This window comes from Homo sapiens, chromosome 17, assembly GCF_000001405.40.
Source record: "Homo sapiens chromosome 17, GRCh38.p14 Primary Assembly".
Lineage (NCBI taxonomy): Eukaryota > Metazoa > Chordata > Mammalia > Primates > Hominidae > Homo > Homo sapiens.
Genome location: NC_000017.11, coordinates 40,543,473 through 40,565,690, shown reverse-complemented (window position 1 = coordinate 40,565,690; position 22,218 = coordinate 40,543,473). Strand labels below are relative to the sequence as shown.

The 22,218-nt window shown below is 52.3% G+C and overlaps 1 protein-coding gene across 5 annotated transcripts, besides 9 other annotated features; it reads left to right on the top strand.

Annotated features, from left to right (window-relative positions):
- Positions 1–218: 218 nt before the first annotated feature.
- Positions 219–11,922, top strand: CCR7 (C-C motif chemokine receptor 7). 5 transcript variants are annotated; one of them, NM_001838.4, is made up of 3 exons: positions 219–291; positions 6,749–6,798; positions 9,873–11,922. In NM_001838.4, exons 1-3 carry the CDS (start codon positions 282–284, stop codon positions 10,947–10,949), a joined length of 1,137 nt encoding a protein of 378 aa, NP_001829.1. In that variant the 5' UTR covers positions 219–281; the 3' UTR covers positions 10,950–11,922. The 5 variants fall into 5 exon arrangements, with proteins under 5 accessions (NP_001829.1, NP_001288643.1, NP_001288646.1 ...); NM_001301717.2 differs by lacking the exon at positions 219–291 and adding an exon at positions 4,678–4,768; NM_001301716.2 differs by lacking the exon at positions 219–291 and adding an exon at positions 4,678–5,012.
- Positions 664–1,580: an enhancer, noted in NCBI's record as "H3K27ac-H3K4me1 hESC enhancer chr17:38720363-38721279 (GRCh37/hg19 assembly coordinates)". NCBI's record gives its function as "activates a minimal SCP1, AML or CMV promoter by ChIP-STARR-seq in primed H9 embryonic stem cells {active_cell/tissue: H9 hESC(primed)}" and the evidence as "EXISTENCE:reporter gene assay evidence [ECO:0000049][PMID:30033119]".
- Positions 4,291–4,370: an enhancer, noted in NCBI's record as "active region_12154". NCBI's record gives its function as "activates an Ori minimal core promoter by ATAC-STARR-seq in GM12878 lymphoblastoid cells {active_cell/tissue: GM12878}" and the evidence as "EXISTENCE:reporter gene assay evidence [ECO:0000049][PMID:35858748]".
- Positions 4,391–4,480: an enhancer, noted in NCBI's record as "active region_12153". NCBI's record gives its function as "activates an Ori minimal core promoter by ATAC-STARR-seq in GM12878 lymphoblastoid cells {active_cell/tissue: GM12878}" and the evidence as "EXISTENCE:reporter gene assay evidence [ECO:0000049][PMID:35858748]".
- Positions 4,951–5,060: an enhancer, noted in NCBI's record as "active region_12152". NCBI's record gives its function as "activates an Ori minimal core promoter by ATAC-STARR-seq in GM12878 lymphoblastoid cells {active_cell/tissue: GM12878}" and the evidence as "EXISTENCE:reporter gene assay evidence [ECO:0000049][PMID:35858748]".
- Positions 5,144–5,661: an enhancer, noted in NCBI's record as "H3K4me1 hESC enhancer chr17:38716282-38716799 (GRCh37/hg19 assembly coordinates)". NCBI's record gives its function as "activates a minimal SCP1, AML or CMV promoter by ChIP-STARR-seq in primed H9 embryonic stem cells {active_cell/tissue: H9 hESC(primed)}" and the evidence as "EXISTENCE:reporter gene assay evidence [ECO:0000049][PMID:30033119]".
- Positions 11,818–11,937: an enhancer, noted in NCBI's record as "active region_12151". NCBI's record gives its function as "activates an Ori minimal core promoter by ATAC-STARR-seq in GM12878 lymphoblastoid cells {active_cell/tissue: GM12878}" and the evidence as "EXISTENCE:reporter gene assay evidence [ECO:0000049][PMID:35858748]".
- Positions 12,028–12,087: an enhancer, noted in NCBI's record as "active region_12150". NCBI's record gives its function as "activates an Ori minimal core promoter by ATAC-STARR-seq in GM12878 lymphoblastoid cells {active_cell/tissue: GM12878}" and the evidence as "EXISTENCE:reporter gene assay evidence [ECO:0000049][PMID:35858748]".
- Positions 17,901–18,140: an enhancer, noted in NCBI's record as "active region_12149". NCBI's record gives its function as "activates an Ori minimal core promoter by ATAC-STARR-seq in GM12878 lymphoblastoid cells {active_cell/tissue: GM12878}" and the evidence as "EXISTENCE:reporter gene assay evidence [ECO:0000049][PMID:35858748]".
- Positions 18,291–18,340: a silencer, noted in NCBI's record as "silent region_8494". NCBI's record gives its function as "represses an Ori minimal core promoter by ATAC-STARR-seq in GM12878 lymphoblastoid cells {active_cell/tissue: GM12878}" and the evidence as "EXISTENCE:reporter gene assay evidence [ECO:0000049][PMID:35858748]".

The following is a 22,218-nucleotide window of genomic DNA, read 5'->3' as shown; positions in this document are numbered from 1 at the left end:
GCAGGGGGCTTTTTGAATGTAAATGACCTAATGATTCAGGATCCTATGACCAGCGACTGTCACCCTCTGTCACCTTTCTTCTGCCCCTTTATCTCTGAAGGCATTGAAGGGGCCCTGCATGAGTCAGGGAGGGCTGGGGGGAGGAGCAAGGGTGGGAGGGGCAGGGAAGAGGGTGGCTTCTCCGACAACTTAAAAGGGGCTTGAACCACTTCCTCCCCAGACAGGGGTAGTGCGAGGCCGGGCACAGCCTTCCTGTGTGGTTTTACCGCCCAGAGAGCGTCATGGACCTGGGTGAGTGAGCCTCTTCATGTGAGAAGGAACAGTACCAGGGTCTTGGACACCCAGACTGACCCTGTGGAATGGGGGTGGAGGATGCGGGTGGAGCGCATAGGGGTGCTTCCTGGAGAAATCAGTTCTGATTTGGTGGGCATTGGAAGCTACTTCCAGAGAATGCCCCCTGCTGTCCCAGGAGGGGTGCACCTGCCCTTTCAGACCTGGAGAAGGGGTCAGCCTTTGGTGCCAGTGGGGACAAGGGAGGGGCCGAGATCATGTCTTTCTAAAACAGCAGGGACATAAGAGAGTGGCGGGGCTGGGCTTGGTGGTCTGGCAGAACCTGTTCTCATCATGAGGGTGATAGGTTAGGCCCTCTGGGACCTCTGGGGACAGGTTTCAACAGAGAAATTCTCCCTAGAGAGCTTAGGACCTTTTACCCACTCTCTGATTCCCACCTTTCTCCCCTGCCAAATATTCATATACCTGTCCACTTGGGGTCATGAGGAGATGCAAATGAAACGTGACTGGGTTGTGAGAATGGTGCGGTGCATTGCAAATGCAAGCTCTGGTTGCTTTCTCTCTGCTGCACATCCCACCTGCTTTGATCTGGCTTTGCTGTTGCCTCTTGCAAGTTAAGGAACGGGCAGGCAACATGGAATGGGATGGCAAGGGGCACTCAGCTTGGAGAAATCATAGCCAGGCCTTCAGCACAGCCCCTGCCCCTGAGCAAACCTCACGCACTCTGCCCCGGCAGATAACTCTACTCTTTAGAAAGCCCTTTCTCAGGTCTAACCTAGAAGGGGTCAAGGGGAAGCACTGAGGGTGTTCTGAGTGGTTCATCCAGCTCCAGACGCCCCCTTTATAAATCTCAGCTGTGGAGTCAGACCAGGCTGAGGCTAAGAAGACCAGGTTCCTAGATGGCTTGTCTCACCAGCAAACAATGCACCACGGCGGCCTCAAAGCCGCAAAGGGTTGGCTTTAAAAAGTGAAGGTTCCCTGGTGCTGTCCTCACACCCCTCCTCGCCACACCACAGCCTCCTTGATTTCATCTCTTACTTTCCCGCCTGCCCTGAACGCTGGATCTGGACCCAGCAAACAGCTGTGAAAGGGTTAAAGTGGTCACCCCACCCACTGACTGTGAACTCCTGAAAGGCAGGTTCAGGTGCTTTGAGGATGTGAGGAGAAAATGTCTGCGGAATGAATGAATACACCGTATCAAGAACTCCGTAGAGTTTAGTTTTTGAAAATCTCTTCCAAATGCCTCATTTCCCAGCCAATCTACCCTTAAATCCCACTCCCCTGCACCCCCTCCACCACCCCCCATCACAATCCCACAGTACAGACGTCACCCACAGAAGACCCTGCTCCAGCCTTTCATACTGGCCTCCAGGAAGGAAACCAAGCAGTGCCCAGTGGTGTGCTACTGGGCATTTGAAAAGCAGCTCCCCGGGGTGGAGCACTGGTAGCTGACTCCAGGGTGGAGGGAAAGTCCTGAATTTGTAGTGCTTGCCAATTTCCATGGTGTAAATTCTCCCACCCTGGCTGATTGATTTCAAGCCATCTACATGACTGAACAGGGGGTTGGGAAGATGTGCAGAGTGTCTTACCCCAGACTAGGTTTAGGGGTGCTAGACTCCTAGGCTTTGATGCAGGGAGAGAGGGTAATCTCTGGTCCAGGAAGAAGGGATATTCTTGCCACTTCACTCAACTTGAGAGAGCCCCAACGGTCAAACCCGAAATACTGGTAGGAGGGGAAGCCGCTGACAAGCTTTACTCAAAACGGGCTCTCTGGGCCGTTGATGGGGTGGGTGGGCCTTGGAGGATCTGTTGTTCTGCTCTTCATCTGCCCAGCAAGGAGCAAGAGGTGGGTGAGGAGGGAGGGTTTCTGTTACACAAAATGAAAACTCCCAAGCAGGGCTGAGCTGGCCTTTTTCACGGTTTGAATGAGCAGCTCTGAGGCACCCTCCCCACCTTCGAGCAATGAGACCGAAGATCTTTCATAATTCTCAAAAGCAAAGCAAGGAAAAAATGAACCCATGAGAGATGTGTGCCTCACAGCTCGGACATAAATGGTGGCAAAGGGGGATGCTGAAGCTAATTCAGGGCCAGTTTCTTGCCTGCCAGAAACTTGGCTGGGGAGGAGAGGAACGCTGCAGCCTGGGGTCGCTGTTGGAAAAAATCTCTCCTCTTTGCTTCGGACATTCAGGCAACTCTCATTGTTTGAGGGATTCAGGGATGACCAGTCTGGTGGGGAGAGTGACACATATGTCACAAAGCCACTGCAACAGAATAAGATACAGCATTGACCAGGGCAAGGGCAAGACAAGAAGGGAATAGTGAACCTGGGTCAGAGAGGTATTTAAGGTGGGTTTTCAAGGGTGTGTAGGAGTTGTCAAGCCCAACAAGGAGCTGCAATGGGCCCAGGATGTGGCAGGAATGGCAAACTCCATTGCCATCAGAGGCCGACAAGGTAATAGAGGGAATGGGCATAAGGTGCAGGAAGTGGAGGGGAGTAGAGTGACCCAGAGGGTGCATGCCCCACCTAAAGGCATTCAAATCTATTATTTCAAAAACTCCATGCTGACAAGCAGAGTGTCCTGGGGACTAAGGCTGCAGCCGTGTAGATGGTCAGCTGAGACAACAGTAACAGAGACAAGAAAGAAGCAAGCGGAGGGGAGGGTGGAGTAGCTGGCCATGCCAAGGAGGAAGATGAGGAGGAAGGACGCAGGCACAGGAGACCCAATCCTTAAAACGTGGTACGGCATCCCTAAGGAATTTGAACTTTATCCTGAAAACAATGGGGACCCATCAAAGATTTTTATTTTTCAAGTAGGTGAATTAAAGGATGAGATTTGTGTTTTGGAAGGAGTTCTGTGGCAGCAAAGAGGCAGCAAAGCCCGTGTCAGAACAGAGGTGGGGCCGGCTCTTTTGGGGGCCGGGATGTTGGGGGATGGAAGCAGGAAGCACTGGTGGCCAGTGGGGCATGGGGAGCAAAGATTCCCCTCATGCTCCGTGGAGCGTCCTAGATGCAGCAGGCTCATCAGAAACACAGCCTGATGCAGTAGCCAGAGCCCAAACCTTGCTATCCTGTTCAAATCTCAGGTCCCTCTCTTAGCAGCTGTGTGGCCCCAGGCATTTGGCTTAATCTCTCTGGGCCTCTATTTTCTGGAATCTAAGATGAGGATCACCAGGGTAGCTCATGAGATGTTATGAGGGAGAGACACATACAGACCCAGTGGCCGCACAGAAGGATGGTTAGGAGTGTGGTTGCTGGAGTTGGAGGGTTTCAAAGCCTGCTCCCCTGCTGGCCATTGTGTGACTCTGAGAAAGTTACTTGCTGTGTTTCAGTTTCTCATTGGTAAATGGGGATAATAGTAGCGCCTACCTCATGGGGCTTTTGAGAGGATGAAATGAGACCATACATGCAGACAGTGTGGCACGCAGTGAGAGCTCAGTGAATATGAATTATCTCATTGGATACAGCAGTTGATAACATAGAAAATGCAAGGTCTACCAGGCTCTCACCCATCCCTGCCTACTGTCTGAAAGTGGATTCCCCAGATCTCTAGACCTCTCACCACCTCCCTGCTTCTCCTCTGCCTCCCTTATCCAAAAAAAAAGAGAGAGAGAGAAAAGTTGTGTTGGCAGGTGAGGAAGTTCAAAGAGGAAAAAGCTTGGGGTCGCTCTTGGGGCGAGCTGATTGGGCAACTGTGATTTCCTGGGCAGTCTGGAGGACCTGGAAAAATGTGGGGATGGAAGTTCATGGTTTGGAGATGGGGGCAGCCAGCCAATAATTTTCTTTCCTGGATGGGCAGTCTCTCATGTTGGGGGCTCCGGTTGGAGTTCTAGGGAATTTTCATGATGATCATTACTGAAAACTCAAGAACTCAGAAAACACCCAACATCTAGGTCAACCACTCCTTAGCCCCAGAGATTCCCAACTTCATTGGTCTCACTGAAGCTGCTGCCCAAGACCAGTTTCTTTATGACTTTGTAACAGACAGGGATGATCTGACTCAAGGCCACTGACCAGGCTCCCTTTTGCCACATACAAGAGTTCCCCTAAGTTTCCCTGTGATGTTTCTTGAAAGCCACCTGTTTTGGACCTACAAGACCCTTGCTCATCCACCTCCTCCAAAACACCTGGAATGAGAAATCACAGGCACACACGCCAGCACTCCCCCAACTCCCCTCCCCTGACGGGAACAGCAGGAGTGGGACAGCGTCCGGGAGAAGGGGTTATCAACAGAGTTCAACAGAAACACAGTTCTTGCTCCTCAGATCTCACCCGTTGTGACTTATCAAAACTTTGAGGTTTCTCATTTCTCCCTGACAGTCAGAGCGGGCTTTCTCTAGAGTAACCGAAAGACACTTACGTGTTTTAAAGAAACCTCGAGACTCGACCTCTAGATGAGTCAGTGGAGGGCGGGTGGAGCGTTGAACCGTGAAGAGTGTGGTTGGGCGTAAACGTGGACTTAAACTCAGGAGCTAAGGGGTAATTCAGTGAAAAAGGGGAATGAGCGGTGGGGAGCTCTGTTGCAACAGGGTCCAATCGCAGCAGGACTACAAATGCCCGAGCGCAGGCTGGGAACGAGGGGACAGCGGCTGCCTGTCCCCAGAATAGAAAATGCAGCTAGGAAGCCCTCTTTGAGTGGACAGCGGAGGACTGGACTGCCAGGCCAAGCATCAGGGGCTTCATCCTCAGGGCCGGTTAGAGCCCCTGAGGATTTAGGAGGAAGGTGAGGTGGGGACTGCCATCAGAGCTAAGCTTTAGGCAGATGTGTCTAGCAGTAGTGTGCAGGACTATTTGCTCAAGGCGGGAGAAATACCTATTTATTTATGTAGCCCGATGCAGTCTCTCCTTCCCGGAGGAACTCCCAAGCCCAGAATCCCTGGCTTTACACAATTTCCGGGGAACACATTAACCAACTGCAACCTGGGTGCCATGCAGGGAGGCTTCCAGCAGGTGGTGCTGTGGCCAAGGACACGGAAGCGCTGGGCTCTCACTGCTTCCCCAGCCTCCAGGAGAAGGTGCCTTAAACAGGTTCCCACGCATTTCCTGGCGCTATTGAGCTTGGAGCTGCCAAGGGCCTGCCTTCACTTGTGGCATCGCAGTTACTGACTCTCCAGTGGGCCAGGCCCTACCTAGCTGGGACCTGAGGGTCAGGATACGGGAAGAGGGCTACTGCCGCCCTGACTTGTAGGTAAGCTAAAACATCTAGGCAAATTACTCTGTCAACTGTCCTCCCTGCTCAGCCTCAGGAAGAAATAAGTTCCTGCTGGGCCCCAGGCTCAGCCACAAAACCAGACTGAGCACATCTGGGCCTTGTGCTACACCGGGGTCCCCATCAGCTGCTCAGACCCCAGGAAGCCTCCTGACTTCCAGAACACGTCGCTTCCCAAAGCTGACCCTGTTCCCCCTTTCACCTGCCCCCCAAGCCTAAGTTAGAAAACAAGTTAAAGGAGAGAAAGTGTGTGCAGGCACTTCAGTTAAGCAAAAAAATAAAGAAGTCGTGACATCAGGAAAGAGCGTCCTTCCCCCACACTGCAACAGGACAGCATCCCTTCTGTGTCCTCTCGGGCCATCTTGATGCCCTCTCCCTTGGAAAAAGGACAGGCATTCGTTTACTTGTCATTCATGTATTTATTCATCATTCATGTATTTATCATTCATATATTCATCAGCACACAATTGTGGGGCACCTCCTCAATTCTGGGCCTGCACAAGATAAAAGGGAAGGGATCTCTGTCCCAAAGGCAGGCCAAGGGTGTGCGCCCAGTGGACCAACAGTCAGTGCTGAATGAATGTCATTTCAGTGAGGGGGTGTTGTGGAGCTGGTGGAGCCCTGAGGCAGTCTCCATCGCTGTGGACCAGTAAGGAACCTCATCCCTCTACCCAGCCTGTGAGGTCATCCTCCTTCCTCAGCCCACCTCCCTCAGGAGACACTCAGGCTTGGCTTCATGCACGTGTGGCTGCGCACTCACCTGGATGCCAGGAAAATGCTCCTGGGCCAGTGGCTACCAGCACCAAAGCAGGGCTGGAAACGTGTGCACCTACCCCACGACCTCATAGCTTTGCCGCCTCATCCCACATCAGGTGGAGTGGGAGGGGGCACTCAGACCCACCAACCAAGCTCAGTCTTGAGGGGTGGTCTGGGCTAGAGAAGACTTCCCAGCTCCAAGAAGCAGCCCAGATGGGCCAAGACAGGGGGTGGGAGGGGCTGCCCTGCATTCTGATGCTGCTTCTTTCCAGGACCTGGGAGTGGAGGAGGACAAGAAGGAGGTGAGGACAGTGATGCCGGGCAGCAGGCCAGGTGTTCAAAGGCACAATCTGGTTCTGATGTTCTCTTTCAGCAAACACAGTGCCTGGAGCTTGGGAGGAAAGTTCCCAACAGCGTCTCCCCCTCCACTGCTTTCTTTAATAACAAAGACTTGTCCCTGCCAAGCAATAACTTTCTCGCCTTGTCTCCTACAGGGAAACCAATGAAAAGCGTGCTGGTGGTGGCTCTCCTTGTCATTTTCCAGGTGAGGTTCTCTGCCAAGGAAAGCTCTGTTCCCTTCTCCACACGGCCTCCCAAGTCAGGGGTTTAGTGGAGGAGCTGGGCATTTGCTAGAAGATACAAGACCCAGACATAAGCCCGCCTGCCACTCATTAAGCTAATGGCTGCCCCCTCACCATCTGCTGAGTGACCCTGGAGAGCCACAGATGTTCTCTGGACTTCCTTTACTCCATTTAGGTTAAAACATGGGGGAAAATAACTTACCACCTTCCCTATCCCACCTCCAATCTCCCTGCCCAGGAGACAGAAATATGGACTCTGAGTTCTTAGAGAGAGAAGAGCTGCAAAAAGCAAAAAATGTTACTGGGTTTTGTGCACGTGTGCTGAGAAAATCACCCTGGATCTGGCGATCTTGTTACTATCCTATCGCCCCAAAGTTGTCTCTTTCCAACCTTCACCCAAAGGCTTCCCTCGCAGCCCCCGTTTTCTTTGGTGAAATAGAGACCCATCCGGCCTCCCTGGCAGGGGAGGGAAGAGAGGATGGGGCCCTAGGGATGGGGAGAGGGGTGGATGAGCACACACTTTATAGCAGGCCTGAACTCGGCAGGAACAAAGACCCTCACTTTACAAAGTTCTGTTTCTCCATCCAGAAACAGACAGAAAGTGTGCCTCACCAAGTGCCAAAGTTAGAAGAAACTGTAACTCGCAGAGTCAACTTTCTCCCATTTGTTAGAGGTGGGAGCTCAGAGTAGGGGTAGGGGAGTCCAACTGAGGCCAGAGCTAGAGAGGCAGTGCTTCAGAATTCGGCTCATCCCCAGGTCTGGAGGCCAGAGGGGCAGCTTTCCAGAAGCTCAGGCCAGAGGCAGGCCCCAAGCTGGGCACTGTTCCCAAAACCCCATCCCAGAGGCCCCCCGGAGCCTGGGCTGCAGCCCATAGCCTGGCCCCCTTCCCCATCACCACTCCCTCCTCTCTCTCCCCTGTCTCCAGGACTCTGGGGGGCTGTATTGCTGGCAGTGGAGGCTGGAAGGGTGGGAAGGGGAGGAGGACAGCTGAGGCTCATTCTTCCCTTTCACTTGGGGAGGGGGTGCTCAGATAGGGCAGGATGTGGTGGGGCTGTGGGCTGCAGAGGCAGTGAGGCTAGGGGAGGGAGAATTATAAAACAGGAACAAGGTTCAAGGGGAGAAGGGAAGGCAGGACTGGATGATGCAGAGTGCACTTCATAGAGGCCGGGAGTACTGCCCTCCAGGAAGGCTGAGACCCCCTCATGTCCAGGGACCCCGGGTCTAAGGCCTTGGGCCGTAACCATGGCTGGGCCAAAGGCAGCAGCCTCCTTCAGGGCTCCCAGGCTGCAGCCATGCCCAGGAAAGGGAAGAGGGGTTGCCACTGACTTTTCGTCTCAGGCTAGCAATGGCCAAAGAAAAGGCTCCTGGACATCATTTTGTCCTCACCATGTTCCCAAGCAGGACAGTGATGAATCCAGAACCTGGGTGTGAAAAAGAGATAGAGACAAGATGCGGTGAATCCCTCCAGCATAAATGGATAGAAACCCACCGTCGCTGAGCTGCTGAATCTGGTTCCTGGTGATAGAACCATGAGCCTCGTGAGGCAGGTCCTCCAGCCCAGCTCCCTGCCCTGCACAAACCCGTCCATCGCTGTGCGCAGAGGCAGGGGCAGGCATGGACCCCCTCCTTCATTGATAAAATCACAGCAGGCTGCTGAACCTTCACCCGACCCTGCAGACGGCTAAAAAAAGCTCCAGCAGCTGAGTCCTGCTGATTGGGATCTGCCGGAAGAGATGCGAGGAAGAGAGAGGCAGAGAGGTGGGGGGAGAGGGCGGGAGCACAGAGGGAGAGTGGGAGATGAGAGCTGCGCTTCCTTCCAGGGACACAGCTGCTGAGGAGTCCTCGCCCCCACCCCCATGGCCCATCATCCATTCACGGAGTTTATGGCACTTGGGCTCACGTTGCCTGAGCTCCTGCTGGGTGCTAAGAGGGGACCCAGGATCTAGAGTCTCTCCAGGTCACCCACCACCCATGATCACAGCAGTTTGCCCCAAACCCAAGGCTTCATGGCCTCAAAATGGGAGCATTTGCCTTCCTCTCTTCTTACTCCAGGCCCTCCTCAACCTTGACCCCCAGGTGGATTTTCCCCCTAAAGCTGAGGTCTTTTGTAAGCCCCCTGGAAAACTCCACCAAGTTCTAAAGGAGGGTCAAGAAGAAAGACACATGTTCCCTCTCTCACGGAGCTTCCAGGGGGCAAAATTAAAGCTCCATGGAGAGGAAATGGTGCTGGAGCCTGGGCTAGGTACCTCACAGCAACCATGGGAAGCAAATAGGATTCATCTCCATTTCACAGAAGAGAAAACTGAGGCTCTGAGAGAGAGAGAGAGAGACAGAAAGAGTTTAACCAGCTCAAGGCTCATCTGGCCCCAGAGCCCAGCTGATTTCCAGTCCCCTGTCAGCACATGTAGAGTCTCTCAGACTTGGCAAAATCAGCCACTTGCTACTTACTAGCAGAACTGTAGAATCTCAGGCCCCACCTTAGCCTACTGATTCAGGATAGACATGTTCACAGGATTAATCAGGTGATGCGTATTGGAGTTAAAATTTGAGAAGCACTGATTTAAAACCAAAGAATCACCTGGAGACTTTAGGAAAACACAGATTCCTAGACCCATCACTTGAGATTCTGGTTCAGAATTCTCAGGTGGGGCCTGAGAATTTGCATTCCTAACAAGTTCCCAGGTGATGCTATGATACTGATGATGCGGACCTCACGATGAAACCACTATTCCTCCCGCCTGGGCAACATGGCAGAATCCCATCTCTACTAAAAATACAAAAATTCGCTGGGTGTGGTGGCATAAGGCTGTGGTCCCAGCTACTCAGGAGGCTGAAGTGGAAGGATCACCTGAGCCTGGAGAGGCCGAGGCTGCAGGGAGCCATGATTGCACCACTGCACTCCAGCCTGGGCAACAGAGTGAGACCATGTCTCAAGAAAAAAAAAAAAGAAAGAAACCACTGCTCTAGGCTAAATCCCAGCCAGAGTTGGAGCCACCCAGCTAAACTGGCCTGTTTTCCCTCATTTCCTTCCCCGAAGGTATGCCTGTGTCAAGATGAGGTCACGGACGATTACATCGGAGACAACACCACAGTGGACTACACTTTGTTCGAGTCTTTGTGCTCCAAGAAGGACGTGCGGAACTTTAAAGCCTGGTTCCTCCCTATCATGTACTCCATCATTTGTTTCGTGGGCCTACTGGGCAATGGGCTGGTCGTGTTGACCTATATCTATTTCAAGAGGCTCAAGACCATGACCGATACCTACCTGCTCAACCTGGCGGTGGCAGACATCCTCTTCCTCCTGACCCTTCCCTTCTGGGCCTACAGCGCGGCCAAGTCCTGGGTCTTCGGTGTCCACTTTTGCAAGCTCATCTTTGCCATCTACAAGATGAGCTTCTTCAGTGGCATGCTCCTACTTCTTTGCATCAGCATTGACCGCTACGTGGCCATCGTCCAGGCTGTCTCAGCTCACCGCCACCGTGCCCGCGTCCTTCTCATCAGCAAGCTGTCCTGTGTGGGCATCTGGATACTAGCCACAGTGCTCTCCATCCCAGAGCTCCTGTACAGTGACCTCCAGAGGAGCAGCAGTGAGCAAGCGATGCGATGCTCTCTCATCACAGAGCATGTGGAGGCCTTTATCACCATCCAGGTGGCCCAGATGGTGATCGGCTTTCTGGTCCCCCTGCTGGCCATGAGCTTCTGTTACCTTGTCATCATCCGCACCCTGCTCCAGGCACGCAACTTTGAGCGCAACAAGGCCATCAAGGTGATCATCGCTGTGGTCGTGGTCTTCATAGTCTTCCAGCTGCCCTACAATGGGGTGGTCCTGGCCCAGACGGTGGCCAACTTCAACATCACCAGTAGCACCTGTGAGCTCAGTAAGCAACTCAACATCGCCTACGACGTCACCTACAGCCTGGCCTGCGTCCGCTGCTGCGTCAACCCTTTCTTGTACGCCTTCATCGGCGTCAAGTTCCGCAACGATCTCTTCAAGCTCTTCAAGGACCTGGGCTGCCTCAGCCAGGAGCAGCTCCGGCAGTGGTCTTCCTGTCGGCACATCCGGCGCTCCTCCATGAGTGTGGAGGCCGAGACCACCACCACCTTCTCCCCATAGGCGACTCTTCTGCCTGGACTAGAGGGACCTCTCCCAGGGTCCCTGGGGTGGGGATAGGGAGCAGATGCAATGACTCAGGACATCCCCCCGCCAAAAGCTGCTCAGGGAAAAGCAGCTCTCCCCTCAGAGTGCAAGCCCCTGCTCCAGAAGATAGCTTCACCCCAATCCCAGCTACCTCAACCAATGCCAAAAAAAGACAGGGCTGATAAGCTAACACCAGACAGACAACACTGGGAAACAGAGGCTATTGTCCCCTAAACCAAAAACTGAAAGTGAAAGTCCAGAAACTGTTCCCACCTGCTGGAGTGAAGGGGCCAAGGAGGGTGAGTGCAAGGGGCGTGGGAGTGGCCTGAAGAGTCCTCTGAATGAACCTTCTGGCCTCCCACAGACTCAAATGCTCAGACCAGCTCTTCCGAAAACCAGGCCTTATCTCCAAGACCAGAGATAGTGGGGAGACTTCTTGGCTTGGTGAGGAAAAGCGGACATCAGCTGGTCAAACAAACTCTCTGAACCCCTCCCTCCATCGTTTTCTTCACTGTCCTCCAAGCCAGCGGGAATGGCAGCTGCCACGCCGCCCTAAAAGCACACTCATCCCCTCACTTGCCGCGTCGCCCTCCCAGGCTCTCAACAGGGGAGAGTGTGGTGTTTCCTGCAGGCCAGGCCAGCTGCCTCCGCGTGATCAAAGCCACACTCTGGGCTCCAGAGTGGGGATGACATGCACTCAGCTCTTGGCTCCACTGGGATGGGAGGAGAGGACAAGGGAAATGTCAGGGGCGGGGAGGGTGACAGTGGCCGCCCAAGGCCCACGAGCTTGTTCTTTGTTCTTTGTCACAGGGACTGAAAACCTCTCCTCATGTTCTGCTTTCGATTCGTTAAGAGAGCAACATTTTACCCACACACAGATAAAGTTTTCCCTTGAGGAAACAACAGCTTTAAAAGAAAAAGAAAAAAAAAGTCTTTGGTAAATGGCAAATGAGCGTGTCTTTGTTTTGCAATCCCCCACACCCCACCTGACCGTCCCCTCTCCCCTCCTCCCTGCCCTCTCCCAGGCCTCGTTTCTTAGAGACGCTCAGAACCACAAAGTTGCTCAGGAATGCTCTGAGCCCGTCTGGTGACACAGGACCAAGAGGCTGAAAGGTAGAAGGAAGATGAGGACAGGAGGTCCATCTTGCAAATACCCTTCCAGAGTTCAAGGGATAGGCCCCAAGCCTGCACAGTCAGCACTGAACCGGACATGCTGATCCTACTGCAGCTTTGGGAAGGCCAACTTTTCCGGGTAACCTCGATACCTGGGGACTCTGCATTTAGCAGCTCTTGCACAGTAGCCTGCTCACCTGTCCCAGCTCAGACCAGAACTAGAGCCCTTAACCTTTTGTCAGCCCCTTAGACTCTGAAAGCTGGGGTTTGGAGGGAGGGCCTTTCTGTGGGCTTGGAGACCACAGCATACTGGACTAGGGGTCAGGGATGAGACCCTTTGCTGGCATGAGAGCTGGAACCACCCATGATCCTCTCTGCTAGCCACTGTAGCAGCAGTGGCCTCCGTGGTGTATGTCATAGTCCCTTCCTGCTGGTACAACAAAATGCCACCGATGGAGTAATTTACAAACCATAGAAATGTATTTCTCACAGTTTTAGAGGATTGGAAGTCCAAGATCAAGACGCCAACAGATTCAGTGTCTGGTGTGGACTCTCTCTGCTTCCGAGATGGGGCCTTGCCATGCCCTCTGGAGGGGACAAACACTGTGTCCTCATGTGGTAGAAGAGTGGAAGATCACAATGAGCCTAACTAGTTCCCTCCTGCTCTTTTATTGCTATAAGGGCATTAATCCCGTTCACAAGGGTGGAGCCTTCATGACCTAATCAACTCCCAAAGGCCCCCCCCAACTTCTCATACCATTGCCTTGGGGTTTATGTTCCAACCATATGAATGTCGGAAAGATACATACATTCAAACCATAGTGTGGATACTGACTGTGGAGGAGCAGGGAGAGAGGGACAGACAAAGGCCCCCACACAGGCCAGGTGTCCGTGTCATTTCGTGCCTTGGTGCCACCCAGAGCCGTGACTTCTGCAAGCCAGAGAGCAGGTCAGTCCAACCTACAATGCGTCAAGAGGGGTCTGAAGGACCCAGAGCTGCAATAGCTCTGGGCCGTGGGGAGCTAGAGGGAGGGCTGAGGCACTCACGCAATAGGTGATTCCATCCATTTCCCCAAGTGGAAAGAGCCTCGTTGAAAATGGAGCTGCCTGGTAATGACACCCATTCGCTCATCTCGCAAGCACGTGACATTACCCTCCTCCGAGAGATGCACTGGGCTGGAAGGTTTTTAACAAGATTTGTCAGCTGGTCTCCAAGCCGGGAATTGGCGCCCTGAGAGGAATGAGCCTGGCACGGATGCAGTCAGCGTGGAGCGGCGTTTGCAGCAATGGCATTAAATATTAAAAGGCACAGCTGCGACTGTGTGCGTGAGCGTGTGGCCAGGGGGCAATGCCAGTGTGCGTGTGTGTCCCCGAGGGGAACCTGCCGGAGCGCATGTGCGTGTGGAGCCCGCTGGTGTGGACATCCTAATGAGGTTACAGATGGGAAAACAACCCTCGGTTCCTGAAGGGGAAGAATGTAACAGAGCAGTCATGCAAAAGGCAGCCAGGCCAGCCGCACAAATGCGCCCCCTCAGCTGCAGATACATTTTTCTAGAATAACTGGACATCTCCAAATATTTACAGAGAAAACAAAACCCCCAGCAATGTCAATTCCCTCGAACTGCTGTGTCTCAGAAGTTCTGACCTCGGTTCAGTGCTGGCCTGATCCCTGCTCCCTTGCCCGAGGCTCTCATGTGCCCATCTTGAGCTTGGGGTGACCCCTGGGAAGAAGGAAAAGGCCCCCTGGGAGGCCCACCCAGGGCTTCTCTCTTCTTTTCTTACCTGCTTCATACATCTGAACCCTCTTCCCAGGTTCACAGCCAATAAGCCTTCTCCAGTCACCTGAAATTTCCTTTTCATTTCATCCCCAGGCCCTCATCTCCCTCATCCTTGCTGGCTGCAACCCCAAGCCAAGCCCAAGGTATTCCCAGGCCACAGGTCTTCCCTTTCAGCTAGAAGCACCACACCTTTCTCATCACAGACTCACAGAGCTCCAAGGGACCTCAAAGATCAGCTGGGCCAATCCCCCAGTCATTTTCTAGATGGTGAAACTGAGGCCCAGCGGGGAGAAGCTGACTTGCCTGAAGAGGCGTGGCAATGCAGGGATATTGGTTAAACTTGCTTTGGAAGCCTGAGCGTCTGGCAGGGTTGCAGGAGGGTGTGGGGGAGAGCAGAGACTCTGGAGCTCTGCCGACTTTGAATCTCATCTCTACTGCTTCCCAGCTATGTGACCTTCAGCTGTTGCCCAACTGGTCTGAGTCTTGGGTTTCTCAACTGCAAAATGGAGAGGATTTGTGTAAACAGTTAGCACAGTGCCTGGAATGTTGAGTGTGGTGGTGAGGAAGAGGGACTTTGCAGCCAGACTGCCTGGTTTGAACCCCGGCTCCACTGCCTGGGCTGGTTACTTAGCCTCCCTGTACCTCAGTTTCTTAATCTGTATAATGGGGATACTAATGGTACCTATGTCCTAGGATTGTTGTGGAAGGCAACGAATCCATATATGTAAAATGCTTAGAAAAACTTACATATGTGTTGTTGGTAATCTTTAGGAGATGTTTAAGAAACGGTAACTTAAAAAAAAAAGTTGCTAACCACAAGGAAACCAAATTCAATTCCTTAGCCCATTTCCATCCCCACAGAATTTATAATTCAAGCTGGAAGGCAATTTAGAGATGAGTGAATCTGGCCTTTCCATCCATTGCATGGTGAGTCAACTCGTGCTCTGAGAGGGAAGCAACTAGCCTGAGGTCTCTTGGGAGGTCTTTGCAATGCTGGAACTTTAACCTAGTTCCCTGGGCTCCTAACCAGAGCTCTTCCCACCAGACCCTGCTGGGCTCACGGGAACATCCCTGCACATCCACCGTGGCACCCGCCCTCATCCCACGCTGTCTCGTTCTCTCCGGCAGGCACCGTTCATCTTGTCCTTTGATTAGGTCCTTAAGGAGAACCTCCCTTCTCCCCTTTAAATAGTTCCTGTCCTTATCACTGAGTCTGGAGAATGAATGAAATATAAAAGAAATATGGCAGCGGTCCCAAAGGAAATCAGGCAACTGATCTTTTTAAGAAAGGAAGATGGGCCGTCTTCTCTGGGAATGGTTCTCAGTTACATGTCTTTGTTGAGGGTGAACAGTTGGAGGAAAAGAAACAGACCTAAAGGGATTGTGGGGGGAATTAAGGCAAAGGAGATGGGGGAAAGGCAGGGGGAAGATGGGGCAGGAATGGGTTTTAGGGAATATACACTGGGGGCGGGACTTGAAGCAAATCTTCAGTGGGTAGTTAGATGTCCCATCCTGCATGCACACACATGCATGTGCACACACACACACACACACACACACACACACACACACACACACATAGAGCCTCCCCAGGTCTCCCAATCTCAGGTGAGGAGAAGGGGGCTCTATTAGTCTTAGAGACAGGTGGGCCCATGGCCTTCTTTGCAGAGAAGATGGTTAGAATCGGTCATGTGTCTCTGGTCTGAGACCCTAGAGAAACTCCAAGGAGAATAAAAAAGGTTGGGGGGGGGCCTCTCCCTCAACTCAAAAGAGCAACCCTATCAGGCTTCAGAAAAGCAAGCCCTCCTAGCACTCCAACCCACGGGAGCAGCTGTCTGAGAAGTCCCAACTCCTCCAGCAGCCACCCCCTCTGTTCCTTCACTTCTCTTGGGCCCAGGCAGAGACACAGACAGGAGTCTGTGTGCAGAAAAAGCTCCCCAGGCCCTTTTCTGTGGAGAGCTGCTCCAGACTAAGCGAATCTCAGCTGATCTCGTGCGAAATCAGAAACGCCAGGATGTGTATTCCCCACGGGCTCCTCTCTTTGTGTCTGTGCATGACCCAATTCAGACTCCTCTGCCGCTGTCAGATTCTCTCCTGCCCATATTCACTTTGAGGATGGATATAACCTTATTTTTGTGTGTTGTTCACTAACCCCAGGGACTTCGCTAGCTGGGCTGTCCTACGTGGTACAGTAACCACCACATAGTGTGGCCTCCAGGTTCTCATCTCTGGGTAAATAAACATCTCCGCACAGGCTTGGCCAGCTCTGGACTGGCTCAGTTCCTGCATGATGCAATAGGTCTCCAGGTCACATATCCGTGCCCACTAGCAAGAGGGAAGGTAAGGAGATGGTTCTTGCCCTGAAGTCCTCTTGTTCCTGTGTCAGAGTTTATTTAGGACAGAATAGTTTATATTTGCTCCAAGTAAATAATATCTGACATTGGGAAGCACAGCAGATGCAGCAGATGAGATGCCCCCAAACCATTTCCCAATGTTTAAAAAGAGGCCTGGAAAGGACAAGCTCATTGATCTCATTTGGTTTATGAAACTGCACTCAAGTGACTGAAGCAGAAACCTGACCACGTGTAAAGACTGAATGGCTCAATCTGCTTCCCAGGCCCAGAGGGTGTTTTCTGTGGCCTGGCCCAGGCCTATGGTGAAGCCGGTGCTAGGGGGTCACCTATGTGGGAGCCAGCTCTGCCTCCTGCCCCGAAGCTCCAGAGACTTCTCCTACAACTGACTCTCTGGACACGCCCTCTTGCTTGCACTAGTATCTCTTACCTGCCACCTGCCCTCCTCCACACACCCCGATTTCAGGGAAGCTCAGCTGCTGAGAGTGCTATTGACAACCTCTGGACTTGGAAATCAGGAGGAAGGGAATGGGAAGAATGGTGGCAGCTTTGTGCCTGGGCTGTTCAGGAAGACATCCCTCTGCCTTTGTTCTCCAGGGCAAGACACAGGGCTAGACACGCCGGAATCCTTAAATCCTTTGTCAAAAGCAGAACTGGGATTTTCGTCCAAGGACTACACCTGTCCTGTCCTCAGCCTCCTTCTCAGTTGCCCCCCTCCCACCCATGCTCATCAGAGCCGAACCCTGAGGAAACCATGGACCGAAAGACCTTGTGAGCTTTTGTTGCTGGGAGTGTCAGAGGCTGGGAGACAGAAGGTATGAGAGATGAGATGCCATGGAAGGGATGGCAGCGATCACAGAGGCTGGGGGGCAGAGGAAAGAGACGTTGAAGAGGTGGAGGGGTAATGAACCTAGGCGGGAGACAGGCTAACATTTACTAAGTGCCCGTGATGCACCAAGGACTAGGCTAGCTATACAACCTTTCATTGAATTCTTATGACAACAGAGAAGGAAACAGGTTTAGAGAGCTCATGTAACTTACCTGTGGTGACACAGCTAGCAACTTTATTAAGATTTTGTTACGTACTATACACTGTATTAAGCATCAGTATCTTATCTCATTTAATCCCCACAACAACTCTACTAGAGTCTCATTTAATAAATGAGGAAACTTAGGCTCAGAGAGGTTAAGTAACTTTATCAATGTCACACAGCTACTAAGTGATTTCAACCAGTTCTAGCTGCCTCCAAATTTCTTGCTTTAGTCACCCTACTTCACCGTTCAACTAAACAGCTGTTTAATACCAAATATTTCTGGAGCCCCTACTGAGTGCCAGGCACTGTGCTGTGTCCAGCCAACATCTTTCAAACCCTGCCAGACACAGAGCTCTGACCTGGGAGAAGGGAGAATCAAATAACAAAGACACAGCCCCCACCTGCCAGGGGCTGTGACCCCCACAGCTGGGCAATAACCAGGTCTTTGCTGCTCCACAGTACCTTGTCCCTGCTTCTCCCCTCTAGGCCCTGCTTCTTACCTAGGCTTCCTCCATGGGCTAGCCCTGCAGATGACTGAGAGGGCTGAGATGGCTTTGCCACAGACTAGTCACTGGGCAATATGGGCAGGTCACCTCCCTTTTCTGGGCCTCCAGCTCCCCAGCTGTACAATGAGGTTGCTGGACCAAATCATTTCTACCCATCGCCTCCAGCTCTGACTTGCTATGGGTGCCTTGTCTGGGCAGAGTCTGGGAGGCCAGTGCTCAGCGGGGTAGGGCTCTGGGCATGTTGATGCTTGCACGAGGTGCAGGGCAAGTGTGTGAGGGGCTGAGGAAGCTGCTCCACCCCCAGCTGTGGTTTCTGGTGGGGCCACCATGGCAGCAGGTGGAGGGAAGTGTTTGTCACCCTTCCAACAAAGGCAGTCAAACAAAAGCCTCCCAGGGCACCATGGGAATAGGCGGCAAGGGCGCCAAAAATAAAACACACTTCTCCTTTGATAGGCATCGGTGGCAGGCATAGGCAGCTGCTAAGGGAGTCTGTCCTTGGGGTGGTGAGGAAAGGGTTCAGATTTCGTGCCCAAGAACACTCACACTCACAAGAGCTGTCCCACCTCACAAACAGCCCACACATACAGATGCTCAATATTCACACAAGAAACACCACCGCACACATCACACACACACACACCAACACAGCAGTCACACAATCAGCATACACATATACACATACAAATAGAAAACTTGCCCCCATACAAGACCAGCTTCATGGGCCGCGACCTGCACAGTCACTCTGGGCCCTGCACTAAGGCCCTGCACTAAGGCCCATGCTGGGTATAATGCTTTGCTGCCTGCACTTTGAAATTCTTAATTATTTTTAAACAAGGGGCGCAGCATTTACATTTTGCAATGGGCCCTACAGGTTCTGCAGTTGCTCCTGTGGGTGTGCACTCATGAGAGCGTTCACTACCTGCTTAAGCATACCTTTTAACACTTTTACACTGTTGATGGGAGTGCAAATTAGTTCAACCATTGTGGAAGACAGTGTGGTGATTCCTCAAGGATCTAGAACCAGAAATACCATTTAACCCAGCAATCTCATTACTGGGTATATACCCAAAGGATTACAAGTCATTCTACTATAAAGACATATCCACACGTATATTTATTGCAGCACTATTTACAATAGTAAAGACTTGGAACGAACCCAAATGCCCATCAATGATAGACTGGATAAAGAAAATGTGGCACATATACACCATGGAATACTATGCAGCCACAAAAAGGAATGAGATCGTGTCCTTTACAAGGACATGGATGAAGCTGGAAACCATCATTCTCAGCAAAATAACACAGGAACAGAAAACCAAACACCACATGTTCTCACTCATAAGTGGGAGTTGAACAATGAGAACACATGGACACAGGGAGGGGAACATCACACACTGGGGCCTGTCAGCGGGTAGTAGGGGGCAAGGGAAGGGAGAGCATTAGGACAAATACCTAATGCACGAGGGACTTAAAACTTAGATGATAGGTTGATAGGTACAGCAAACCACCATGACACATGTATACCTATGTTACAAACCTGCACATTCCGCACATGTATCCTGGACCTTAAAGTAAAATTAAAAAAAAAAAAATCCTACCTATATAGACAAGAGTGCATCCGCTACACACATACACACAGATGCACAAACACATGCATGCCACAAATGCAACACCCACACAAACAGCAATAGCCCCCCATGTTCACGCGCCAAAGCACACACATTGATACCCAGAAGGGGTCCAGACGCTCACAAGCAACGCTACAACATGCAGCCTATGCCCTGCAGCCTGCTGACACAATTCAATTGACTTAACATTGGGGGCAGCAGAACAATGTGAAGGGAAGGGGCTTGGAGAGAAAACAGGTTCATGTCCTCCACCTGCAAACATCTCCCACCTCTCTCTTCGGCCCTGGGCTCACCCACCCCACTCAGCGGCTGGGACCAGAAGAAAGGGAGAGCCAGGGAGGTGGGCGCATGGACGGAAAGGGGACAGGGATGGAGGTGGAGAGGGAGAGAGAGAGGGCAAGAAAGAACGGGTGGGGAGTGGGGGCAGGAACTGAGTCCCCAGGTGAGCTGGCCCCAGCAGTGGTCTCATAAGAGCTCAGAAGGTCTTGGACCCAAAGCAGTAAGAACAATGCCCCTGTGCTCCCCGCAAGCACAGGGCGGTCCCGCCCTCAGAGTCAGTCAGAGGATGCCCACCTCCCTTCTTACTAGCTACACAGCCTTGGGCACGCCGTGTAACTCCGGGCCTCAGCTTCCTCCTTTGTGGAATGGGATAGCCAATTCTACATTGCAGGGTGGCAAGGCACACACAGACACAACACCTCCTGGATTCCTGCAGCAATCAACAGCTCGTCTCGTGATCAGGCCTGCAATCTGATTCTTGGCACAGGAACTCCAGACCCCCTCATTACAGCAGACATTTGGAACGCGTTTATTTCCCATCTTCTCCTGGTCTCACTTCACACCTCACAGCCAGGTACAAGCACAGAGGTGGATGTAATTCATGGCCTCATGGCCACCATCACTTCAGGGACCTTCAGGATCCTGCAGCCCCATCCTGCCCCACCCCCTACCCAAACCAAGCAGGACTCCAAGGCCTGGAAATTTTTCTTCCTCCTCTATTCTTTTTTTTTTTTTTTTTTTTTTTTTTGAGACGGAGTTTCACTCTTGTTGCCCAGGCTGGGCAATGGCGCGATCTCGGCTCACCACAACCTCCGCCTCCAGGGTTCATGCCATTATCCTGGCTCAGCCTCCTGAGTAGCTGGGACTACAGGCACCCACCACCATGCCCGGCTAATTTTTTGTATTTTAAGTAGAGACAGGGTTTCACCGCGTTAGCCAGGATGGTCTCGATCTCCTGACCTCATGATCTGCCCGCCTCGGCCTCCCAAAGTGCTGGGATTACAGGTGTGAGCCACCGCGCCTGGCCTCCTCCTCTATTCTTTACCCCCAACCTGTATTCTCCACCCCCAACCCTAACCTTCCTAATTTATTTATTTATTTATTTATTTATTTATTTATTTAGAGACAGAGTCTTGCTCTGTCGCTAAGGCTGGAGTGCACTGGCTCACTGCAACCTCTGCCTCCCAGGTTCAAGTGACTCTCCTGCCTCAGCCTCCCGAGTAGCTGGGATTACAGGCATGCGCCATCACGCCCAGCTAATCTTTGCTTTTTTTTTTTTCTTTTTTTTGACAGAGTCTCGCTCAGTCGCCCAGGCTGGAGTGCAGTGGCACGATCTCGGCTCACTGCAAGCTCCGCCACCCGGGTTCACGCCATTCTCCTGCCTCAGGCGCCCGAGTAGCTGGGACTACAGGCGCCCGCCAATATGCCCAGCTAATTTTTTGTATTTTTAGTAGAGACGGGGTTTCACTGTGTTAGCCAGGCTGGTCTCGAACTCCTGACCTCTAGTGATCCGCTCACCTCGGCCTCCCAAAGTGCTGGGATTACAGGCATCCCTATTTAAAATTGTCCCAGCCTCTGTCCCTTCCCTGAAAACCCCATCATTCTGTTAGGTGATACCAGATTCTTAAAGAGTGATTCGGGAAAAACGAATGGGCCCTAAGGGGCATGCCAGTGTGCCCCATTCCAATTACAGTCACCCACAGGAGAGAGGAAAGGTCGTCCAAGTGGCCACCAACAAGAAACTATTTCATCAGATTTCTTTTTTGTTTGTCTGTTTGAGACGGAGTCTCACCCCGTCACCCAGGCTGGAGTGCAGTGGCGCGATCTCGGCTCACTGCAACCTCTGCCTCCCGGATTCAAGTGATTCTCTTGCCTCAGCCTCCCAAGTAGCTGGGACTACAGGCACGCACCACCACATCCAGCTAATTTTTGTATTTTTAGTAGATACAGGGTTTCACCATGTTGCCCAGGCTGCTGTCAAACTCCTGACCTCATGATCCGCCCACCTCAGCCTCCCAAGGTGCTGAGATTACAGGCGTGAGCCACTGCGCCCGGCCTATTTCTTCAGATTTCTTATAGGACATAAGTCACTCAGATCCCCTCACAGGCTTTCTGTCAACTTACTGAGAGGGAAACTGAGTCAAGGAAGAGTGAAGTGACTTGGGTGAGCAGCAGAGTTGAGGGTTGTGGTCTTTCTGATGTGCAGTCTCCATGAGACCAGATCCAGAACAATCCATGCCCCACCGCACTAGCACACAGCTGGTTCCCATTCCCCAGGCGTGGGAAACAGCCGGGCTGGTTGGAGGCCTGCCAGGGTGGGAGGTCTGGTCACCAGGTGCCCCAGGACAGGGAGGAGGGGGCAAAGCAGGGGGTCCGGCATTCAGATTCCCATACTGGTCTCACCGTTTATCATCCGTGTGACCTTGACAAGTGCCTTCTCCTCCCTCGATGCAGTTTCCCCGTTTGAAAACAGGTGTGATGTTGTTAAAACCTCCCTGGAGTGTTACATTAAACGAGGTAGTGGATGTACAGCTCTTCGTAAAGTGTAAAGTGATA